Source organism: Homo sapiens, chromosome 2 (genome assembly GCF_000001405.40).
Source record: "Homo sapiens chromosome 2, GRCh38.p14 Primary Assembly".
NCBI classification, from domain to species: domain Eukaryota; kingdom Metazoa; phylum Chordata; class Mammalia; order Primates; family Hominidae; genus Homo; species Homo sapiens.
This window is the reverse complement of record NC_000002.12, coordinates 200428909-200451483: the sequence shown is the minus strand read 5'-3', so window position 1 is coordinate 200451483 and position 22575 is coordinate 200428909. Positions and strand designations below refer to the sequence as shown.

Below are 22575 nucleotides of genomic sequence, written 5' to 3'. Positions count from 1 at the left end.
TTATTCTAAGTAGGCTTTCCTCATCTTTAGTATACAGATTAACAGTAGTACACATGTATAATTTATAAATGAACTTTCTGATTTGAGAGGGATGTGCTTAAAATTCATTTATTGATGGAGTGAGACCATCATCATTAGTTATATTAACTTTCTTTTTGAGACAGGGTCTGGCTCTGTTGCCCAGGTTGGGGTGCAGCGGTGTGGGTGTGATGTTGGCTCCCTGCAAACTCCGCCTCCTGGGCTCAGGCGATCCTTCCACCTCAGCCTCCAGAGTAGCTGGGACTGGAGATCTACACCACCATACCCAGCTAATTTTTATATTTTTTTGGTAGAGACAGGGTTTTTCCATGTTGTCCAGGTTGGTCTTGAACTCCTGGCCTCAAGCAATCCTCCTACCTTGGCCTCCCAAAGTGCTGGAATAACAGGTGTGAGCCACCGTGCCCATCATTATTGATGGAAGAAGGGTACTTCTCCCTGAGCACATATGTTCTTTCTTGCCTCTGGTTCTTTGTGTTGCTTCTTCTGCATGGAATCTTCTTTCTTCCTTCTCCATCTGGCAAATTTCTAGTCTTCCTTCAAGATCCTGCTCAAAGGTCACCTCTGCAATGGAACCTTTCCTAATGAGCCAGGTAGAGTTGATTTTTCCTCCCCCCAGCTCCATTCCAGCTTGTTTACATCTGCAGCCACTAGTGCATGGGCTTTTTTAGGAGGAAGACTGTCTTTATCCCTCAGTCTTTCTAGAAGTGCTCCTTCAAGTGTGGTCTGCAGACCACCTACATTTGTACTCACTAGACTCACTGAGTGGAAGATTCTTGGGTGCCACCTAACATCCACAGAATCAGAATATCTGGAAATGGGGCCCTGATGCTCCTCGTGCACTCAAATGTTTGAAAAGTAGTGGCTTGACACACATTCATCTATCTATTAAGTGGATGAATGAAGAAAGGGGAAGAGAGAGGTAGCGAAGGCATGGCAAGACAAGAAAGGGGAAGGGGAGCTGTTTTGGTGGCAACTGTGACATTCAGAAGTGGGTGTCCCTTTGCCTTACTTCTCTCTTCATCAAGTAATAAAAAGTAGAAGTGGTGATGAACCATTCCTATCCCATAGCTGGACTCCACTGCATGCTAAATAAACAGAAAGTTGGAAGGGATAACTTATTGCCAGTGTCTTGGTGTAGAGGAAAAGAAATTTCCCAAATGCTACTCTGGAAGAGAATCAACCTTAACTGAACATCTCTTATGGGCCAGGCTAGTGATTTTCTAGAATGATGTGACAGATACATTACTTATATATGAATTTTCACAAAACCCCTAGAAAGTGATAACAGTATTCCTGCTTTGTAGCTGAGAAGGAGTTAAAAAACTCAACCAGGTTCAGAGCTAGAATATGTAGAGATGAGATTTAAACCTTAATCTATCTAACTCCACATCCCGTGCCTCCTAATTAAGTGGTTAATAAACCTTGGAAAATGCGTCTTTCATTAGAATATGGCCTGGTAAGAATCAAGAGTTTAGAGTCACTAGAAGCAGCATGTAGTATACATATAAGGAGTTCTATTTTATTGGCTTCACGTACAGCCTTTCTATATGATTTGTTGCTGACTTAGCTGACAAACTGCCCAAAATAACTCCTTAGTCTCACTGTACCAGTCCAAAAAAACAGAAATAAGCTCCAAGATGCATTCTGAAATTGTAATTTAGGACTCACTTTTTAGTATTATAATGTATTTTATATTTATACTAAGATATAAGAACAAATTCATCTTCTTTTTTCTAGTGAAAATAGACTATATTGCATATATATTTTTTAAAAGACCATACTCTAGTATCCTATGGGAATGTGTAGATAGAACAATTTGCTTATTTCCTCTTTATTTTTCTATTTTATGATGAAAACAATTCCTTTTCAGAAGTACATTCCCGGGCTGGTTGATTGGTAAGCTTTCATCTGCTGAGAAGATTCAGAAATCTTTTCCGATTTCAGGCTGAAATTAGAACCAATTTCTTGTCTTCCAGCTCTTATTGTGGGCCTTTATTCTGCAAAGAAGGCTGCAGTGCCAGCGGAGCTGACTGCCAGTGCCAAGTGTGTGACTGACATAACGTATGGAGGTAATCCACACGTGTAGCTCAGGAAGGCTATTAATAAGAGGTGCTATTTATGCTGGTTTCCTGGGGACTATACCTAAACTGAAAAGGCCAGTTCAGTACTTTTTGTATTTATCAACCTGCTCTTCCTTCATGTCAACTGATTCATTCAGTCCTTGCAAAGGCCCTGGGGAAACATCTATTGCAGAGGAAAACCTCAGGGAAGAAAGAAAATAGGAAAAGAGAAGCTTTCACCTCCAAAGAGTGAGCTACACCTATTTAGAAAGACACATATTCACAAATGAGGCAAGATTTGAAATATACTGCACTACAGGGACTTGCCTTAGTCACAAAGTTATGGGAACCTTGAGTTTCTCCATGTTATATGTGTATTTGCCCTTTTCACAATTTCAGAATAGATCCCGGAGCTTATTTCGGTTTATTGGACTGGTGCAGAGTGAGGAAAAGGAGTCATTTTGGGCAATTTGTCAGCTAGACAGCAATGGAAACCATACATATGGCTCTCTTGAGGCATAAATGTATTTATTAGCCTCTTCCATTATTGTCTCTTGGTGTCCCTTGCAAGTAAATGTTCATCCCCATACTCTCTGTTTCTTTAACTTCTGGCATAATATTGAATGTTGGGGGTGGGGAGAAAAAAGTTTAATTCTCTTTCTATGGTGCTTTGTCCAAGTCACAAGCAGGTGAACACTTAGAAAAACTACTTGATGAGAAGGAAAGGGATTAGTCAGAAAGTCTGGTTTGTATAGATTTTGATCATTGCAAGGATTGTATTCATTTCCAGAGCAGAAAGAGATAGAGCCCTTTTATTAAATGTCTTTTAAAACAAAACATTAAAAAACACAATTCAAACACTTGATTTTATTAAAAACAAAACCAAAAACACACTGAACTCTTATGATTTTGTTGTTGTTGTTGTTGTTTTGTTTTTGTTGTTTAGACAGTGTCTTGTTCTGTCACCCAGGCTGGAGTGCGGTGGTGTGATCTCAGCTCACTGCCACCTCTGCCTCCCAGGTTCAAGTGATTCTCCTGCCTCAGCTTCCTGAGTAGCTGGGATTGCAGGCATGCACCACCACACCGGGCTTATTTTTGTATTTTTAGTAGAGACAGGGTTTAGCCATGTTGGCCAGGCTGGTCTCTAACTCCTGACCTCAAGTGATCTACCCACCTCAGCCTCCCAAAGTGCTGGGATTACAGGTGTGGGCCACTGTGCCCACCCGTTTGTTTGTTTTTGAGACAGGGTCTTTCTCTGTTGCCCAGCCTGGAGTATAATGGCATGATCACGGCTTATCTCACAGCCTCAACCTGGGGGCTCAAATGATCCTCCCACCTCAGCCTCCTGAGTAGCTGGGACTAAAGGACTGTACCACCACATCTGGCTAATTTTAAAATTTTTTGTAGAGATGAGGTCTCCCTGTGTTGCTCCAGCTGGCCAAACTCTTGATTTTTGTCTTCACTACTTGTTTAATCTAAGGAATTAACAAAATTTAGTAATTGTTTAACACATTCCTGATAATTAAACAGGGAATTGAAAGCTTTTAAAAATTATTATATAACAATGCTAAGTGGCTGAAAAGGCTCCTAAAGGCAACTTTCCTACTGGTAATCCTATTATAAACATGCCTTGTTGAATGGCACAGAGAAAAGCATCATCTTATTACTGTACAACTACACTATACTACCCCAGATACTCTCAGTGTACACTAGGAGTGTTTACTATCAAATTTCAGCCACGTTGCTTTAACAATGGAATCTTGACTCATTCCTCATGTTTATATCAACATCTTCCATGTGACTGAACTCAAAACCCAAATTTGCTTGTTGTCACAGCATCTATTCTGTGACACAGATCTGATTCTAGGACCTGTTTCGCCTAATATGTATTTTTCCTATGCTTACCTGTTAAAGTATATATAATGCCACAATTCCAGTGATCTCCTAATTAAGACAGAGTAATAAAATGGCCAATAAGTATTTGTTCAACCACTACGGCACCGTAAGATATGTAAAAGACCTTCTGTTCATTTGGCTTAAAGAGCATAATGGCTGGCATACCTGGGTATGTCACTGGCATCAGAGTAGTTGGATATATGCCAGATATGCCAGAAACACCAAGTAATATTGCTCCCTGGCTGAAGTCAAAGAAAAAGAATAACCCCCAAGCAGACATTTAATGGAACAAGTCCTTACTGTATTTATCTTTACATGTCTCAGATCTTCATCCTAATCCTGGTCCCCACTGTGATATTTGGTTTTATTGCAAAATGAGAAAAAGACTCAGGTAGAAACAGAATGGCTAATGAAAGTGACTGCCTATCATTAGCTACAACCTTTGGTTCTTAATTTTTCCATTTTCTTCTAAGGACTGAGTAGAATTCTATGATGAAAAACAGACGATAAAGCAAAGCCTTCAATTTTCTACACTTCAGTATAATTGTTTTTCTGATCTCAATGAGACAAAAATGTAATTTGACCTTTAAAATGTGTAGTGAGAGGGTTTACGTTTCAGGCACTATGGAAAAAATATTTCCTGCTGCACTGTTATGAAATGAGAAGACAAATATAGTGTTTCTTTGGGTATGTGATTGGAAAGTCCCTCTTTCATATCTCCAGTGGTGGCTTAGGAGGGCAACTGGGGGCAAGATGATCAGGGATGTTTCAAAGGGAAGAGTCTCCATCCTTCCCTCAAGGTGCTCCAGCAGAACCGAGGTGGCAGGACAAATGAGGCACTCTTCTCTCATTTTCCTCTCACCCAGGCTTTCCCAGCACTACAGACATTTTGGGCCAGGTAATTCATTCTTACAGGAGAGGTGGGAGAGACGGTTAGCAGCATCCCTAGCCTCTACCTAACGGATGCCAGCGGCACTCTCTCCCTGTGGCTGTGACAACCAAAAATATTTCCAAATCAATGGTCTCCTGGGGGCAAAATTGTCCCATTGAGAACCACTGCTGTGGCCCTAGACATATCACTCCCTTTGCAAGACTCTCAACCAGCAGTTTTCAACCACAGATGTCAAGAGAATTATCTGTTTTTGGTTCTTATTGAGACAGGGTCTCACTCTGTCACCTAGGCTGGAGTGCAGTGACACGAACATGGCTCACAGCAGTCTTGAATTCCTGGGCTTAAGCGATCCTCCCACCTCAGCCTCCTGAGTGGCTGGGACCACAGGCACACACCACTATGCCCAGCTAATCAAAAAATTGTAGAGATGGGGTCTCTCCATGTTGTCTAGGCTGGTCTCGAACTCCTGGGCTCAAGCAATCCTCCTGCCTCGGCCTTCCAAGGTGTTGGGATTACAGGCGTGAGCCACTGTGCCTGGCCTGTTGTTTTTAAAAGCGTGGTACAATCAGTATCTCTGGGGGCGGCACTTAGGCAAGGGAGGACTATAAAGCTCTAAGAGTTTTTATTTATAGTGTACACACATATACTTTGGTATGGAAAGAAGTAGATATTAATATATAGGCATCATCTTTTAATGTGAAGTTGTTCACAAAGAGAACACATAAAAAACCCAAAGGACACACAGAAAAGCCAGGGTTTATCATTGTTTGGAAAGCCAGGAATCACACGAAAGCAGCTAAAATTTGGAGAATATGGGTAGGGAAAAAAAAAACCAATCAACATGGCAAGAATCAGCTCTGAAAAATCTGCAAAAGTGATGGTCTTACTTGGACTCAAACTAAAGGGGCTTCAAGGATATATGTTTCAACAATTTAAAATTATCTGGATATCCAAGGAGAGCAAACTGGGAATATGGGACATACAGTTACATATACGTGGTTCTGATGCTCAGCAGTGCCACTGGCAACTTCCCATATGGGAGACCTCAAGATCACATCCTAGGAAAAGTGCACAATATTTAAAGTGTCAATGGTGACATCTGGTTTGTATGTGGGGCCACCTGTTGACCACATTGATAATCTGTGTGTGATTTTCCTTGGCTATCAACAGGGCTTCAGTAGCAGATGAGAAGGATTTGAGGGATGAGAAAGATAAAACTTATTTCAAAATAGCTTTTTCTTCTGCCTAAAAGTCCCACTTTTATTTTATTATTAATTATTTTTTGAGGCAGGGTCTCACTCTGCTGCCCAAGCTGGAGTGCAGTGGCACGACCTCGGCTCACCACAGCCTCGACTTCCTAGACTCCAGTGATCCTCCCCACTCTCAGCCTCCCGAGTAGCTGGAACTACAGACGAACCATCACACCTAGCTGATTTTTTTTTTCTTTTTGTAGAGACAAGGTCTCGCTGTGTTGCCCAGATTGGTTTCAAACTCCTGCCTCAGCCTCCCAAAGTGCTAGGATTACAGGTGTGTTCCACCTTGCCCTGCCACATTCTCACTTTTAGAGTAGTCTTTTGGCTGGGGGAGAGAGTCTCAACAGAGCATTTGTTAGTATGCAAATATGTCACTTTGAGAGGGAGGATACATGGTTATCATAGGGATGAGTTTAGTAAGTTACATAAGATAACTGAGTTTCCATAGTTAAAAAAAAAGAGAAAAGGGATATGGAGACACCACTATAAACACCTATCTTGATTGAGGTGAGGAGCCCTAGCCTGTATGGGGCAGCAGGAGGTTCACCCTGTCTGTTGGGAAGGAGGAAACTCTAAGACGCAGGAAAATTGGCAGAGGAAGGGGAAGTGGGCCAGGGCTCAGGGTGCGGGGAGCTGAGACTCCTGACCTACTTTCAAATTCTGCTTGGGCCAGACTTGGCATTGCTTCGGGAAAAAAGAAACACAAAGTATAGGAACATTTCTGGCCCACTGGTACAGAATACATGCTTTCACAGATTTCCCTTTCCTCTTGGAAAACAAAGCTGCCTAAAAGGACTGCTCCCTCCAGCCCCCATTCTCTAGAGCCTCTTTATGCCTCCCCATGCCCAGCACACACGCTACCCCATTGGCTCATTACCGTCTTCCATTTTCTTAGGGTGCTTTTAATTAGATGTTAAATTGACAATAGCACCTAACAGAATTTTTACAGCTCTATTTTGGAATACTTTTCCCCCCAGCATATGGCGGAACTATCAAGTATTATTCTCCTTCCTCAATGTTTTTTTGAATTTAATGTTTTATTGCTCATTTTAAGTCTTCACAATCAACTTGGACACACAGACACAGATTTGTGATGAGAAGCTAGACTAGTCTGCATATAAAGCAATTAAATCTGGCAGCTATGATTCCAAAGGATGAATATTTTCCAGTTGTGGTAGGAGGCCAATCATACAGAAAAGAAACCAGCTGTTTCATGTTAGTTCCTGATGTGACTTTTCACACAGATGCTCATGTCGCAAAATTTATTTTCTGTTAAGATGCATTGTGAGAGCATTGTATCATCTTTATTCCCCTCGCAAATCCCTAATTCTTTCTGGGAAAATGAGAATGCTCTGTTATGGTCATGCAGCCTACGTAACTGTATCCTGCTTAAATGCCAACTTTGATTTTACATTTTAGCTACTTAGTGGTTTTCTTCAATAACTGTACTGAACAAAGTATTCTTCACAGCCCGGTTGGAAGAGAGATCATTTCGTTCATTTTACCTTGATGTGTGCTTGCTTGGTATTGAGGATATGCAAACAACAGCTTGCTCCCAGCCTCTCAAAATCATCATTCTCGTGAATTCCAGCAGTACTTTTCAGGGAGTTTAGTCAAGCAGGACTCAGGTCCTTATGCTGGCACTTTTTGGTAGCAAAGTGAATATTTAGAATTTCTGACCTGAGTTTCTAGTTCTCAACTACACGAAATGCTTGTTGAGTACTTTGTGGTTAGGATAACTGGGTGGCCCAAAGCAAGGAGAGGAGAAGAGGAACTGGAAACGGAAGGTATACATCTATGTCGCTTGTGCACCACATGCGGTGACATCTCTCTCAGAACTGGCATTCTTTCTGGAAATCTCCACAGGACTTATCCCATGTCCTCCAAATCTAGATATGCCTCATGATGTAATCCTGAGGCTACAACTGCATTAAAATGAGTACATTCTAACACACCTATAGTTCACTCAAAGTTTTCTCTAATGCTTAGAATGCAGGATTTCACCATCAATAGGAAAATTTCATTAACAAAAATTTCCAAGCTGCCATCTTCAATTTTGTGACCTGATATTTCAAGAGCACCATAATCCCTAAAATTCATTTTCTTCCTCTTAGAAAACAAGAGGGAGGCTTTATTCAAGTATGTCACCATGTTTGCTGGGCTGCAAGCTCATTTGGAACAGAGGCAAGGTTTTTCTGTTTGGCAGGCATGCATAGTTGATTTTAAAGAGCACTTTGGTTTTATTTTTAAGTTAACATTTATGCAATTATTGTGGGATCACTTTTATTAAGGATTAGATCAGAAAATAAGTGGTGCTGTTTACTCATTTTATAGCAATGGCATACCAAAATGGTTGATCTAAATGTCTTCTTTGGTTTGCAGAAAAAGTGCCATTTTGTTAAGTAGGTGGCTTTTAAACAGCAGTACTACTTGGCAGCGCTCATTCAGAAGTGATTCTTTCCATCAGTTTAAAACACAACATGAATTACAAGCAGAGAAAAAATATACTATTTCCTTGGGTGTTGACTTTCCTGGCCCCACGCTTTCAGCTCTTGAGGAGTAAAACTCTCACAGAATCTGTTATAAATCTCAAGATGTCTCATGACCCATGTGATGTTCATTTTACTAAGAAATAAAATAAAATAAGAAGTACTCAGAGCAGCTGGAGAAGAGAGAGGTAATTTGAGGGCATTGCTACACTTTGTCAATTAGTATATGAGTCACTCAGATGGAAGGTATCACACAGAGGGCTCAGAGGAAGAGTTTATTCTAAAAGGCCACACTAAAGAGTAAGACAGAGTGGTCTTCTCTGAACAGCTAACTAATGCCTCTAGACAGGGGTTGACAAACAATGACCCTCATGAGCCAAATCTGGCCCACAGCCTTTTTGATTATCTAGGGCTGCCTTTGAGCAGCAACAGCAGAGCTGGGTAGCTGCATAGAGACCTTAAGGCCATAATGCTTAGGATAGTTACTAGTTGGCCCCATAAAGTCTGCAGACCCTGGCTCTAGAGAACAGCCCTGGAAGCTGGGTGTACTTCTAAGTGTTAAGGTAACTTACCTAAAGACAGATTGGAAAGTTATAAAACTATAAAATAATAGTAATAACAATTTTCATTTGTATAGCATCTTTAATTTCTCTAGGTACTCAAACATATTCTTGGAGTTGCTTTCAACAATTGGTTAGGTTATAATATGATCAAACAGAGAAGACTTTCGTTGACATCCAGATGCCATGACTGGGGTTGGGGGGAGGTAGATGAATCCTCCCCTCAGAGGGCCTCTGAGAGGCTGAATGATAACTGAAGGAGAAAGTTTTCTTTTAAGTTCCTAGTGTCTTCTGCACCCTTAGGATCTTATATGATACATAGCAGATGGTTTAAAATTCATGCATTTTAGATTAGTGTTAAGCTTAATTCTTAGTTTTACACACAGTTTCTGCTAAAAAGCACATCAATGTCAAAGCAAGGACCTGGAATAGGAAAAGCATGCAGAAGAAGTGATCAAATTCTAGAATCACGGGAGGCCAATGAGATATAGAGAATATGTTAATGAGCTTGGGCATGGTGGATATGTGCCAGCCTTTGGACTTTTGCTATTTCAGATGAAGCCCTCTCTCAGATCATCAGAGGGCTAAGGATTATGTAATCTGGCAGCTGTGAGGGGGTCATCTTTGCTACCACAAAGAGAGATGGTGCCTAAGAAAAAAGCCAAGAATGGACAGAGCTAGGAGACTGTGGGAGACACCAGGAGAGAGGAAGGAGAGAGGGTGAGACAGACTGAGTCCTGATAACATAATGAGGATTTACAGTCAAATTTGTCTGAAGGAAACTTCTGTAATTTTCATGTATATCAGCCAATAAATTCTCTTTTGTCTTTAACTTCTGTGACTTGATTTCTGCCACTCCAAACTGAAAGAGACCTAACTGATACGCTGAGAACATTTTTCTACTGTTAATAACTAAACCTTTATTAACAGATATATCATTTCAATTGTAGACATGAGCAAATATACAGGGTTCAAACATTTTCCATCAAAATCAGTAGCAGGGAAGGGCAAGGCAGGACCAAAACCATATTGATGCACCATGTTTAAATTCTAGTCTTAAAGATACCCAAGAATGGGACTCTGTTGCTAAGCTTATGTGAGATGTTTCTGAATTTCGTTAAGGGAATTCTTCTTATTTTATAATTATAGTGCTGGAAAATATTTTGTTTTCCTAGTAGTATTCATGATATTAGCCTTCCAGGGATTTGTCAAAAATACTATTTTTTGAGGTTTTATTCTTTGTTGAGGTTTTGTTTTACATCATTCATAGTTTTGGGCCAACTTCAAACTCCAGTGAATTATGTCTATCAGGTTTCTTTTTATTCAAATACTTTATCTTCTTTTTTATTCCCAAGATACATGCTACTGCCTGCAGGGCTTAACAAAATTTGCTGGAGAGTTATTCTGTGATGTTTATGTATTAAATAAACAACGTTTTCCATCTGATACTTTTACCTGTTGGAACAGCTCAAGCATCACAAATTTATGGTTCCTACGTTGAATCACTCACCAGTTGTGTAATTCAGCAAAGGCAGCTTTGATCTTCTTCACGGAACTATCCACTTCTTCCTTAATCATGACGCGATATCTAGTTAGAGAAACGGTGCAGCGTTGCAAATCCTTCACTGATTTCTCAATATTTGGGCCTAAAATTGATGTCAAAAAATATTATTAACTTGAGCATTTAATCCTTTGTTTGTAAGCTAAACAACAAAACAAAGCAATTAGCCCACCAGAAAAAGGGACTCATCTTTTGTCTAGTAAAAGTTCCATCAGGAGAATGTTTGTAACCCAGTGTGGGTGGCTTGTGTGGCACCTGAGGCTGTTATGATTTCACCAGTGGGGTCTCTGACTGGGCCATCTGGGGTACGCTTGTCTCCTGCACTCTTTGGAAGGAGGCTGTCATCATTATATTCTATCACAAACTGCAGTGCCTTAGAATCTGATACGTCTAAAGACCATTTGTGCTGCTGGCTCTCTCTATAAACACCACTTTGCGTGGTTAAAAGCCAGCAGGGCTTTTGGAAGAGGAAAATGACACAGAGACTGGGAGAGGTACAAATGAGATAGAGAGAGGATGGGGCATCAATGCCAGGTACGCTGGCACTGGCCCCATCATCCGAAGCCAGGCCTGTAATTAGAGCAGCAGCATTGAAAGCAGCTCTATGGGTGCCCATCTCGCCTGATTTCCTGCAACTGTCACCAGGGTCTACAGATAGTACATCACAAACAGGCAGATTGTACTTATCACAATCAGGCCATGTTTGGTAGAAGAAAGAAATCCCCCTCAAGAAAAATGAGAAAGTAGATCAAACCAAAGCCAAGGAAATCAGATACAACTGAGGCTGAATGAAAAGAATAGTATTTAATCTTCTGGGAATCAGAAAGGAAGTGATTTTCATTTTTAATACCAGTTACGTATCAAGTATATCCAAGCTCAGAAAAATCATAAAAATCCAGCGTGTCAAATATAAAACCCTCTTTCAATGTTACATTGTGTGTAAATTCTAACACAGAACTGAATTTACATTGGGAAGACCATATCTGAAGAACATATACCAGCCTCCAGACTCATCTTTGTTCAATGCAAGTCAAGCAATTGTGTATCAGGGAAACATGAGTCCCTTTTAGCAGTTACATTTTTAAAAGAGCTCCTGAATGAGCACTTGCTTTATAAGATATTAGGATAGAAGGTACTTGTGGTGTAAGTTTATCCATGCCTACAACAAGAATGGTCTCAGAGGGGCAGAGAAAGGAGATGTAATTCTATTTAAATATTCAAGACCTTTGATTACATGGGAGGAATCACCTCTGCCTTTCCATCTATGTGGGTCACAGAAAAAAAAATGCAATTTCATGTGCATCTCTCTTCACTAAGCAGCATCTTTTGGAAAGTTCTGTCACTCTGGCACTTTTCTGTATGTGCAAAATATGTTGAATCATTTGTGCAAAAGAAATCACTTTACCTCTTTTCTTTGCCAACTCATCTGGCTTTATTTCAAGATGAGCTGCAGGGGTATTGGACTTAACAGGAGATGTTTTTGCCTTAGGCTTGCTTGGGTTACAAGGCTGCTCAGCTGACCACTGTAGGCCATCTGACCTCTCTGTTGTTCCATGTATAGGTTTGGGGTTCCCATCTAAGGATAGTTTCTGTTGCAGTAGTCTGTTGCCTTCTGTAAGAAAACACCAAATAATGACTGTGAAGTGATAAACTAAAAACACTGACGATAAAGTGATGGAGGATGCCAAGATTTTTGTTTTTGTTTACATATTGGCAATAATGCCTTTCATTGCAAACAGTCAAGAAACTGTTTTAAAAGAATCCCCAGAAGATTAGAGGGTGTACTAGAAGAGCCTTGTATTTTGAGTAGAAAGACCTGGGCATGTTTTGGCTCTGGTAATTACTTGCAGAGTGACCCTGGGCATCTCTGAGCCCTAGTTTCCTCATCCATAACTATCCAGGAAGGTTATTAAGAGGCTTATAGAAGATGAGCAGTGCCTTTTCCCCCCTGCTATTCCAGTAAAGGCTTATGAGTCTTTTAAGTACAATTTCATATTGAGGCTATAAAAATGTAGCCCTCCTATCTCCAAGTGCTACATTAATGTCTTGTGATATTTCATTCCGAATTAATGAAGGCAGAAGCGTGACTGGAGATAGAGCAAAAATGAAGTGACAACAGATACTATAATCATTGCATCTAATTTATGGAGGGCTTAAATCAGAAAACATCATCATAATATCTCAACTATATTTAAAATCTAGGGAGTCAGATTCTCTCTGGAGATTTAATAGATGTGGCAATCAATTAGCAGGATGTTGCTTTTGGCATCTTTTAAAGGTAGGTTCCCATTTAGTTATTGCTGGAATGAATTAAATAGCATGTTAGTGGCCTGAAACGGAAATGTATCACTCTTAACATCTTACTACCAGAGAAAGTTTTGGGTGTGAGAAAAGGGAAGCCAGTGTGCTCTTGAAGGCCAGGTTCTTGTAGAAAGCTTGATGAGTGCAGTTTTGATCTAGGAGAACCAAGTTCTGGTATTCCTTATGTCCTGGGTGACCTTGTGGGAATGTCTTCACTTGTCTGGCTGACTGGCTTGCACTCAAACAGAACACAGTCATCTTTGTAAAACCCAGCCTTTTCAGATAGTCACCCTTGCCCTGCTTCTCTCTACTCCCATGGTACCTTGCTTTACTTAAAACCATGGTACCACGGTTTTATATTTTAACACAAGGCTTCCATATCTGCCCCTCACCCCTGCCTTGCAGAGGCTGCAATCTTCCCAAGGGCAAACACTGAGTTCAATTCTGTTTTGAAGCCCTAGTACTTGTGTCTGGCTCGATGGCTTTCTGTAGAATTATGATCTAATTAAAGTACATTTGAAACAATTTCATAGAAAAAAATAAAAAACAATGAATATCTTACCTGACACAGTCAGAGACTACACTTGAAAAAATACAAAGGAATATGATCTAGGTCCTAGTCAATTTGATTTTAGACATTAGTCCATTCATGATCAATATAATTAGACTTCAGTTGAATCCATCATTCATAACTTACATATCAAGAAAGCACAACATACTTTCTATGAGCTGAATGAATACCCTTAAAAATTTACTCACAGTACACAAAATGTTCAGCAAAGGTAGTAAACAAAGTACATAAGTACTGAAAACAGCATTTCCTCCAGTAATAAAACAGATTCAAATGGTAGTATGCAATTTTATCCTTAGTGATATTAAGGTAGAACTTCACTATAAGGCACTGGCTGTCAAACTTCAGTGTGAAATGAGTTTCCCTTGGTACTTATTACACATGCAACTTCCCGAACACCATTTCTAGAGATTCCAGTTCAGCTGTGGGCCCAGGCTTCTCCTCCCCAGGTGATTCTGTTGGAGTGGAGATGGGTGGTACCAGCCACCCAGAGAAACCCTACTGTAAAAGATTAAAAAACTAATTTTATGTTGAGTCTATAAACATTTGTGTTAAAACAATGACACGTCCAAACTGGTTCCAAGTCACTACCTCTCTAAATTCCAGTTGAGAGGCAGTCTGGATGAGATACTATAAATTGAGAATTCTGGGTTAGGCTGTTTTTGCATTGCTGTAAGGGAATACTTGAGCCTGGGTAATTTTTAAAGAAAAGAAGTTTATTTGGTTCATGGTTCTGTACGCTGTACAAGAAGCATGATGCCAACATCTGCTCAGCTTCTGGTGAGGGCCTCAGGAAGCTTACAATCATGGCAGAAGATGACTGGGAGCCAGCATACCACATGGTGAGAATGGGAGCAAGAGAGTGAGGGGAGAGGTGCCACATACTTTTAAACAAGCAGATCTCACATGAAGTAACTGAGCAAGAACTCGCTTATCACCAAGGGGATGGTGTTAAACCATTCATGAGGGATCTGCCCCCATGATCCAATCACCTCCCACTGGGCCTTACCTTTGACATTGGGAATCACATTTCAACATGAGATCTGGAGGGGACAAACATTCAAACCATATCAAATTTAAAACACAGATCTTCGTGTATAGTGTCGTAAAGAGATCATATTCTTGAAAATAAGGGGATTTATACTATAACTTAATGGAAACAATGACCTTAGAGCAGAGGGAAAAAATTATTGTAATGAAATGCAAAAGAATTTTAAATGGAAGCCAAGCATGCAAATGAGCATAGGCTCATTAACCTAGAGCTGAAAACATTTTATTTGTGTATCAGAGAACTGATATATGGTCTACTGGTTCGTTTCAACATTCCCCATCAGATATCAATTGAGAAATGTGAGTAGAGATTTTTTTTAGGTCCTCAAAAGCTGTCTCATTACTAGTGAAATCACTGAACATTAAAATCTTCAAGACCACTTGTACATATTTGCATATATGCATGTATGTCTGACATGCATGTATGTCTTGTTCATCATTACTGCATGTGTTTGATATCTTGCAGATACATAATAAATAATGAATGTATCAGTGTTACTTTAGTATAGATCTGTCTTCAAATATAGTAAAACTCTGGGACTCTTGCAGATGAAAACTGGTGGAGCGTTATAGAGCTATAACAGAAAGTCACTGTATCCAGTGACTTTCCTCTAACATTATAGTCCAGAAATACCATCAGCTCTCCATTTATCGGGAGTCCACTTGTAAACTTCAACAGGTTGTAGCTCAATGGGGGCTGATTCACACATAAGCCTCCAGTGTCCAGTAAGGTAGCCACTGGCCACATGTGGCTGTTGAACACTGGAAATGTGGCTTGTCCAAATTGAGATGTGCTATAAGTGTAATGTATATGCTGAAATGTGAAGGTTTAGTACAAAATAAAAAATTTAAAATATTACTTTAATAATTTAAAAAAGATTGACTACATGTTGAAATGATATTTTTGATACATTAAGTTAAATAAAATATATTACCCAATTTAATTCACCTGTTTACACTTTTTAAATGTGGCTACCAGAAAATATAAAATTATATACATACTATGTGTTAAATTTCTGTTGGATAACACTAATAGGATACACAAGGAGTGTGAGAGTTTTGATCTTCAGTGTGTAATCACTACTAATTTATATTCTAGAAAAGGGTATTTGTTTTAGTGAAGCCTTAAAATATCCTCTGCAATTTCTACATGAGAAAAGTGGTGACAGGGTGATGTATGTCTTGTTCATCATTACTGTATGTGCTTGGTATCTCGTAGATACATAATAAATACTGAATGAATGAATCAGTGTTACTTCAGTGCTATGCATGCCTACGGCCCTTCCAGTTGTAGGGAGCCTCGTTTGATATGAGTCTCTGGCTGTGTCTTTATCTAATATTCATCAAATATTAGATTCCACAGTAGCCGTATCTTGGAAAGAAAAGTTATCTCTGGAAACACACCATCTGCCTAGATTTCAATAAAAATTGTATACATTTTAATTTAATCCTTGTCCATGTATCTAAAAATGGCTCCTAGAAGTTTGTGTCTTTGAATTTAACTATTACGTGAGCATTCCTTTTATTGAAAACACTTACCAAATCCCAATTTTGTATATACACACAAATGGTATATAATGTCCTGAGTATCACGTTGGTTTCTGATTCAAGGATTCAACAGACACATATGGAGAGTGCACAGTGTATCAGCTCTGGTTTATTAATAGGCAATAAATGAGAAATAGACTGACCTTAATAACTAGTATGTAAAATGTGAAAAAATAATGGAAGAGGATACCAGAGTAAATCTGAATTGAACTTTCCCATTGAATTGTCTTGGTACCTCTGATAAACATTAACTGACTATATGCGTGACTATTTCTGGACTGTATTCTATTCCACCGATCTAGCTGCCAGTTCTCACACCACCATTACACTGTCCTAGTTACTGTAACTGCTTTACTCCTCTTTTTCAAGATTGTTTTGACTATCTTAGGTCCTTTGCATTTTAATATAAATTTAAGAATCAATTTGCCTATTTCAACAAAAAATATGATGAGATTTTCATTGGACTTGTGTTGAATCTATAAAGCAATTTGGGGATATGCGGTATCTTAACAATACTGAGTCTTTTGACCCTCGACATGACATACTATGCCATTTATTTCAATTCTAATTTGCTTTAGCATCATTTTATAGTTCTTAGAGTCTTGTGCATCTACAGTCAAATTTATTCCTAGGTGTTTTAGAATTTTTATGTTATTGTTTATAGCATTTTTAAAAATTTCAATTCCAAAATGTCAGGAATACAAATGCTTTTTAATATATTGAACTTATATCTAGCGACCTGGCTAATGTCCTTATTAGTTCTGGCAGCTTTATTTTTTTTTGTAGATTTCTTAAGATTTTCTTTCTACAAACACAATGATGACAGTGGTAATGAAGTCTAACTTCTTCTTTTCCAATCGTTCCTTGTCTTATTAATCCTAGCTACAAAGCAGAATGAGCATCCCTGCATTGTTCTGGGTCTTAGGGAAACTGCATTCAGTATTTTATCAAGTATTACACAGCTGTAGAGTTTCCATGTATTTATTAGACTCTAAAAATTCTCTTGTATTCCTTCTTTGCTGACAGTTTTTGTCAAGTGAATTTTTTATTTTACACACTGAGATGATCATATTATTGTTCTCCTTTATTTTATTAATAATATTATGTTGATTTTTTTAAATGTTAAACTGATGTTGAGTTCCTGAAATTATTAACCACACCCACTTGGTCATGCAGTATTATCCTTTTATATATTGTTTACTTCACTTGTTAATGTTTTGTTGAGGATTTTTGCTTCTTTATTCATTAACAATATTGTTCTGTAATTTTCTTTTCTTGTAATGACTTTGTCAGGTTTTGATACGAGTTATGCTGGCCTCATAAAATGAGTTAGGAAGTATTCCTTCTTTCTATTTTCTGAAACTGTTTAAGATTGCAATTACATTTATTCCTCAAATGTTCATGGGAATTCACTAAGGAAGTCATCTGGGCCTGGAAATTTTAATTATGAATTTCCTTGGTAAGCATAGTGTTATTCAGATTTTCTATTTCTTCTTGTCTGTTTTGGTAAGTTGTGTTTTTAAAGAATTTGTCCATTTCATTTAAGTTGTTGGATTTATTGGCATAAAGTTGTTTATAACATCCTGTTAGCTTTTAAATAAATGAAGTCAGGGTTAATTTTATCCCTGATATTGGAAATTGGTTTATTATATTTTCATTATGATTCAGTTCAAAATTTTTCTCATATCTCTTGTGAAATTTTCTTTTTGGCTAATGGATTGTTTAGAAGATTGATTAATTTTTAAATGTTCAGAGATTTTCTAGTTATCTTATTGCTATTGTTAATTCAATTCTACTGTGTTCAGACACCATACTCTTAAGATGGTGTTTTAAAATTTGAAACTAATTTTATGGTCCAGCAACTGGCCTATTTTAATGTAAATGCCATGTTCTCTTGAAATTGTTGGGTGTGTTGTCCTTTAAATATCAATTGGCTCAAGTTGGTTGATAGTATTGTTCAAATCGTCTATGTTCTTACTGATTTTTAATCTATATGTTCTATCAGTTACTAAGAACCTGATATTAAGATCTACACTGCTGTGGATTTGGATTTGTCGCTTTCTTTAGTTCTATATATTGCTGCTTCATGGATCTGGAATCATTAGATGCACATACATTTAGAGGTGTTATATCTTTTTGATCAATCAAACAACATATTACTATGAAATGACCCTTGGATATGAGGCTTGTTGTTTTTCATCAAATTTGGATAAACTGTGTCCATTATTTCTTCATAGCTTCCTCCTTCTCCCTGCCAAATTTCCTCTTTGCTCTCCTTCTGAGACTCTAATTACACCTATGTGAGACTGCCTGATACTGTTCCTTAAGTCACTGAGGCTCTGGCTTTGTTTTATTCTTTTACTTTTTTTCTCTCTGTTCTTCAGTTGGCATAGTTTCTTTTGACTTGTCTTTAAGTTCACTCATCCTTTCTTCTTCATCGTCTGAACTGTTGCTAAGCACACCTGATGACTTAAATTTTCTTTTTCTTCATCCATTATATATCCATCTTCTTTTTCCATAAAATTCTTAACATATTTTTAATTAGCAATCCTTGTCTGCTAATTCCAACTTCTGTGTTGTTAATGGGTCTGTTTTTAATGACTAATCTTTCTCTTCATTATAGGTCACATTTTCCTGCTCCTTCCCATGTCTAGTAATTTTTAAAATTGGACACTGACCATTTTGGATGATGCATTGAGAAACTCTAGATCTTCTTCTTTTCCTTTAAAGGGTTTTGACTTTTGTTCTAACGGGTGACTAATGTACTTGCAGATCACTGCCCACTCTCTTCCTCCCTTTTTGCCTTGAGGATAAATGTTAGGCAGCTAAAAGAACAAGTTGGGGGATGGAAGAGATGATAAGGGGATAGTGCACTGTTCCTTAAAATACCTTCATTTAATTCCTCTGCTTTATACTCCTCTTCTTGAGCTTGCCTTCCATCCCATGTGCTGACTCTGAACCCAGGGCTCCCCCAGTTTCTGCAGGGCAATCATCTTCCTCCCCACCAAAGCTCCTCCCTCTGTATTCTATGCTGCAGCATCTGATTCATCAATAAAGCCCCTTCCATCTACTTCCTTTCTTGTAGAAACTGATACCCTTTTCTCATTTTTTTCAGTATTGTGGATTTCTACATTTAAAAATTTCTTTACTATAATTTAAGGGAATTTGTTATGAAGTCAATACAAATTCATGCCTTTCTTTCTCTTGAAAAGTTCTTGATATGCTTTGCCAAATTATTTTTCAGTCAAGTTGTACCATTTACACTCAGCTGCAGTGCCTGCAATTGTTTTCATATTTAACTCTTGCCAACAGTGAAAACTATCAACTTACTGGTTACTAAATCTTAGTATCAACTTATATACTTTACTTGTGCTTAATTTATTTTATACAATAAATGAATTGTGCTGGTTGTTTTTGTTAGCAGTGCCAAAGAAAACAAACCCTCCTCTTGGGGGAAATATATAAACTTGGATTCAAAAGTTTTCATTATGTATGTACAGCCATGTGTGTATTCAAATTTGAAAGTTTCTGAAAAAGATTGTTTTCTCTTTAGTTTTTACTTTTTAGTGAAAGCTTGATATACTTATAAGTAGACTGAAGAAAGAATTCAAATCTAACTTTAAGAATTCAAATCTAACTGTAAGGAATGTATTAAACATAGAATAGTTCTAAAATAATTATTTTAACCCTTTGAGTTAAGATGGTTTCATTGTCTTCTATACACAGGTAATTGCAGCAAAGCACATCATCTGATCTTGAGTAAGTATTGTAAAGTAGTTGTATTTGGAAGAAACTGATAAAGAAACAAAGCATAACTTTGTTGTTGTAAAATTATGTCTAAAATTGCTAATGTCTATGTTACTTAAAGCAAGTTACCATTCTTTAAAAAGTACTTATGTGAATGTGATGGTGTTTTATGATACTTGATACCTGATAATACAATTGGTAGTTCTTTGGTAATTGATCTTTGTGTTCTTAAATATTTACAAAAGAAAAAATACAAATGGAAAAGAAACTTCTTAAAAAGTTCCATCCCTCTACCAATCAGTTTTAAAAGTAAAAACAATGAGATTAGTACAACCTTTCCGGACAGTAATATATTAATAACTTAAAAACTATTCATACCCTTTGAACCCAATAATTCTACTTCTAAGAATATATGCTAAGGAAATAATCATGGTTGTTCACACAAATCTATATACAAGAGATGTTCACTATAATATTCTTTATAAAACCAAACAATGGAGGCCGGGTGCGATGGTTCATGCCTGTAATCCCAGCACTTTGGGAAGCCAAGGTGGGCAGATCACCTGAGGTCAGGAGTTCCAGACCAGCCTGGCCAAAATGGCGAAACTCCATCTCTACTAAAAATACAAAAATTGGCTGGAAGTGGTGGCAGGCGCCTGTAATCCCAGCTACTTGGGAAGCTGAGGCACGAGAATCACTTGAACCTGTGAGGCAGAGGTTGTGGTGAGCCAAGATCATGTCACTGCACTCTAGCCTGGGTGACAGAGCAAGACTCTGTCTCAAAAAAAAAAAAAAAAAAAAGGAAACAATTCACACGGACAACAGTTTGGGAACAATTAAAAGAAATATGGCACATTCATAAACATGCAATGCAGATATTTAAATCACGTTTTTAAAGAACATTTAATGATATGAAGTAATGTTCATAATCTCACGTTAAGTAAAAAACAGAATACAAAGGTTCACAGGCCGTTTAATATCATTTAAAAAAAATCTACATATCTGTGCATTTTAAAAATTCTGAAATAAAATTTAACGGTGGTTGTTTCTGGGGGGCAGGATTGTTTCCTTTTTTTTTTCCTCAAACCTTACTGAATTTTCAAATTTCCTCAATTAGTGTAAAGTCTTTTTAAACCCAGAAACACAAAATCCATGATTATCTTTAAAAAGCAACATAGCAACTTACAAAAATTTAATTATCTTTAAAAAGCAACATAGCAACTTACAAAAATTTAATTAACCTACACTTCTCCATGTATTTTATCATTAATAATTCAATAGAGATAATGAGAAAGGATTGTGTGAGTGCCCATCTTTGTTCCAGGCCCCAGAAATACAATGGTAATGAAAGACAGATGTGGTCTCTGTCGTCACAGAACTTGCACTTTAATAGGAAGGTGTGTAAATCAAACCACCATACAAACAAATGAAAGATTGCAACTGTGGTGTTAAGAAAGAAAAGCATATAGTGTTCTGAAATCTGTAACTGGCATATTTGACCTGGGGATATCAAGAAAGAATTCCCCAAGGAAGTAAACCTAAGGTGAGATCTGAATGATCTCATCTGAAATCACATGAAATAACTAGTTGAAAAGAGTGGGAAATTGTACTCCAAGCAGTGACTACATTTGTAGGGGAGAAAGCATTGTGTGCCAGTTATCAAGTTATAGTGTCTCTTGGCTCCAGATCTACTCTTCTTGCCCTACTTTGTGATACTGGAGCTGGACCCTGTAAGCAATTCTCTTTTGCCAGCTAGTAGAATGTTAACTTTTGATGTCAGCAGATGGCAATAAAGTGACCCTGCAAGGCCATAAGAACAGGAGTATATCTCTCTTTGGGGTTCTGGATCTCTATTATTATTAATTATTATTATTCACAGGAACCCAGCAGCCATTCAGAGGAGCTCCAACCTACATCCTCGTGCCATTCCCCACCTCCCGCCACTGTCAGTGGCTTTGAGCAGCTCCAATCCATCTACACCCTCTGGCAATGGCAGCCTCTTAACAGAAGAGCTCAGTCTGTGCCCTTTGACAAGTTTCTTCACCACCACAAGGCTGCACGTTCCTCTGGTAGCCACACACCTTCTTCGATCAGGTCAGAATCTCAGTCTTGGCTTGGGGGCCTCCCCTAGGCCTTAGTTCCTTTATTGTCTCATTTTCTTCAGTACAGATATAGTAACTGCTCTCATGCTAAATGTGGACACCTTATGGTCCTCTTTTACCCCTTCTAGTAGTTAGTAACCTCCTACTGTTTTAATTAACAATGCTTTACATTACATTTCTCCTATTCAAATAACCAGTATGGTTCTTATCTCCTGACTTGATCTTGACTGATACACATGGCCAGTATGAGGGCCCAAACAGAGACCAGCATAGCTAAAGTAGAGAGGGCAAGAACGAATGTGCCATGCAAGGAGGGTGGAGTGGGACACAGGGGCCAGACTATGCTGGGCTTGCAGGACAGGGTAAGTCTTCTTGTCTTTATCGTAAGAGGTCAGATTTGTGTTTTGAAAAGATTACAGGATAGAGAATGATTTACAAAGGAACAAGGGTAAGTGCTAGGAGATTAATGAGTGGACTATTGCTGCAGTGCAGGCAAGTGAGGATGG

The 22575-nt window shown here is 38.4% G+C and overlaps 1 protein-coding gene and 1 long non-coding RNA gene across 18 annotated transcripts in view; one reads left to right on the top strand and one right to left on the bottom strand.

Moving 5' to 3' along the window:
* SPATS2L (spermatogenesis associated serine rich 2 like) overlaps nt 1-22575 on the bottom strand; it is a 176386-nt gene that overhangs the window by 30781 nt on the left and 123030 nt on the right. For 10 of the 15 annotated variants that reach the window (NM_015535.3, NM_001282735.1, NM_001282743.1 and 7 more), the window contains 2 exons: nt 12156-12362; nt 10700-10835 (listed from right to left, as the gene is read on the bottom strand). In NM_015535.3, coding sequence (NP_056350.2) covers nt 10700-10835; nt 12156-12362 — 343 coding nt within the window. The remainder of the gene's footprint in view (nt 1-10699; nt 10836-12155; nt 12363-22575) is intronic. The other 5 variants (XM_024452788.2, NM_001100424.1, XM_005246459.2 and 2 more) reach the window with 1 other exon arrangement.
* Nucleotides 1-22575, top strand: part of LOC101927741 (uncharacterized) — an 81319-nt gene that overhangs the window by 26490 nt on the left and 32254 nt on the right. For 2 of the 3 annotated variants that reach the window (XR_007088047.1, XR_001739165.3), the window contains exons 3-5: nt 2016-2108; nt 19947-19979; nt 21847-22061. This is a non-coding gene — a long non-coding RNA (uncharacterized LOC101927741). The remainder of the gene's footprint in view (nt 1-2015; nt 2109-19946; nt 19980-21846; nt 22062-22575) is intronic. The other variant, XR_001739167.2, reaches the window with a different exon arrangement.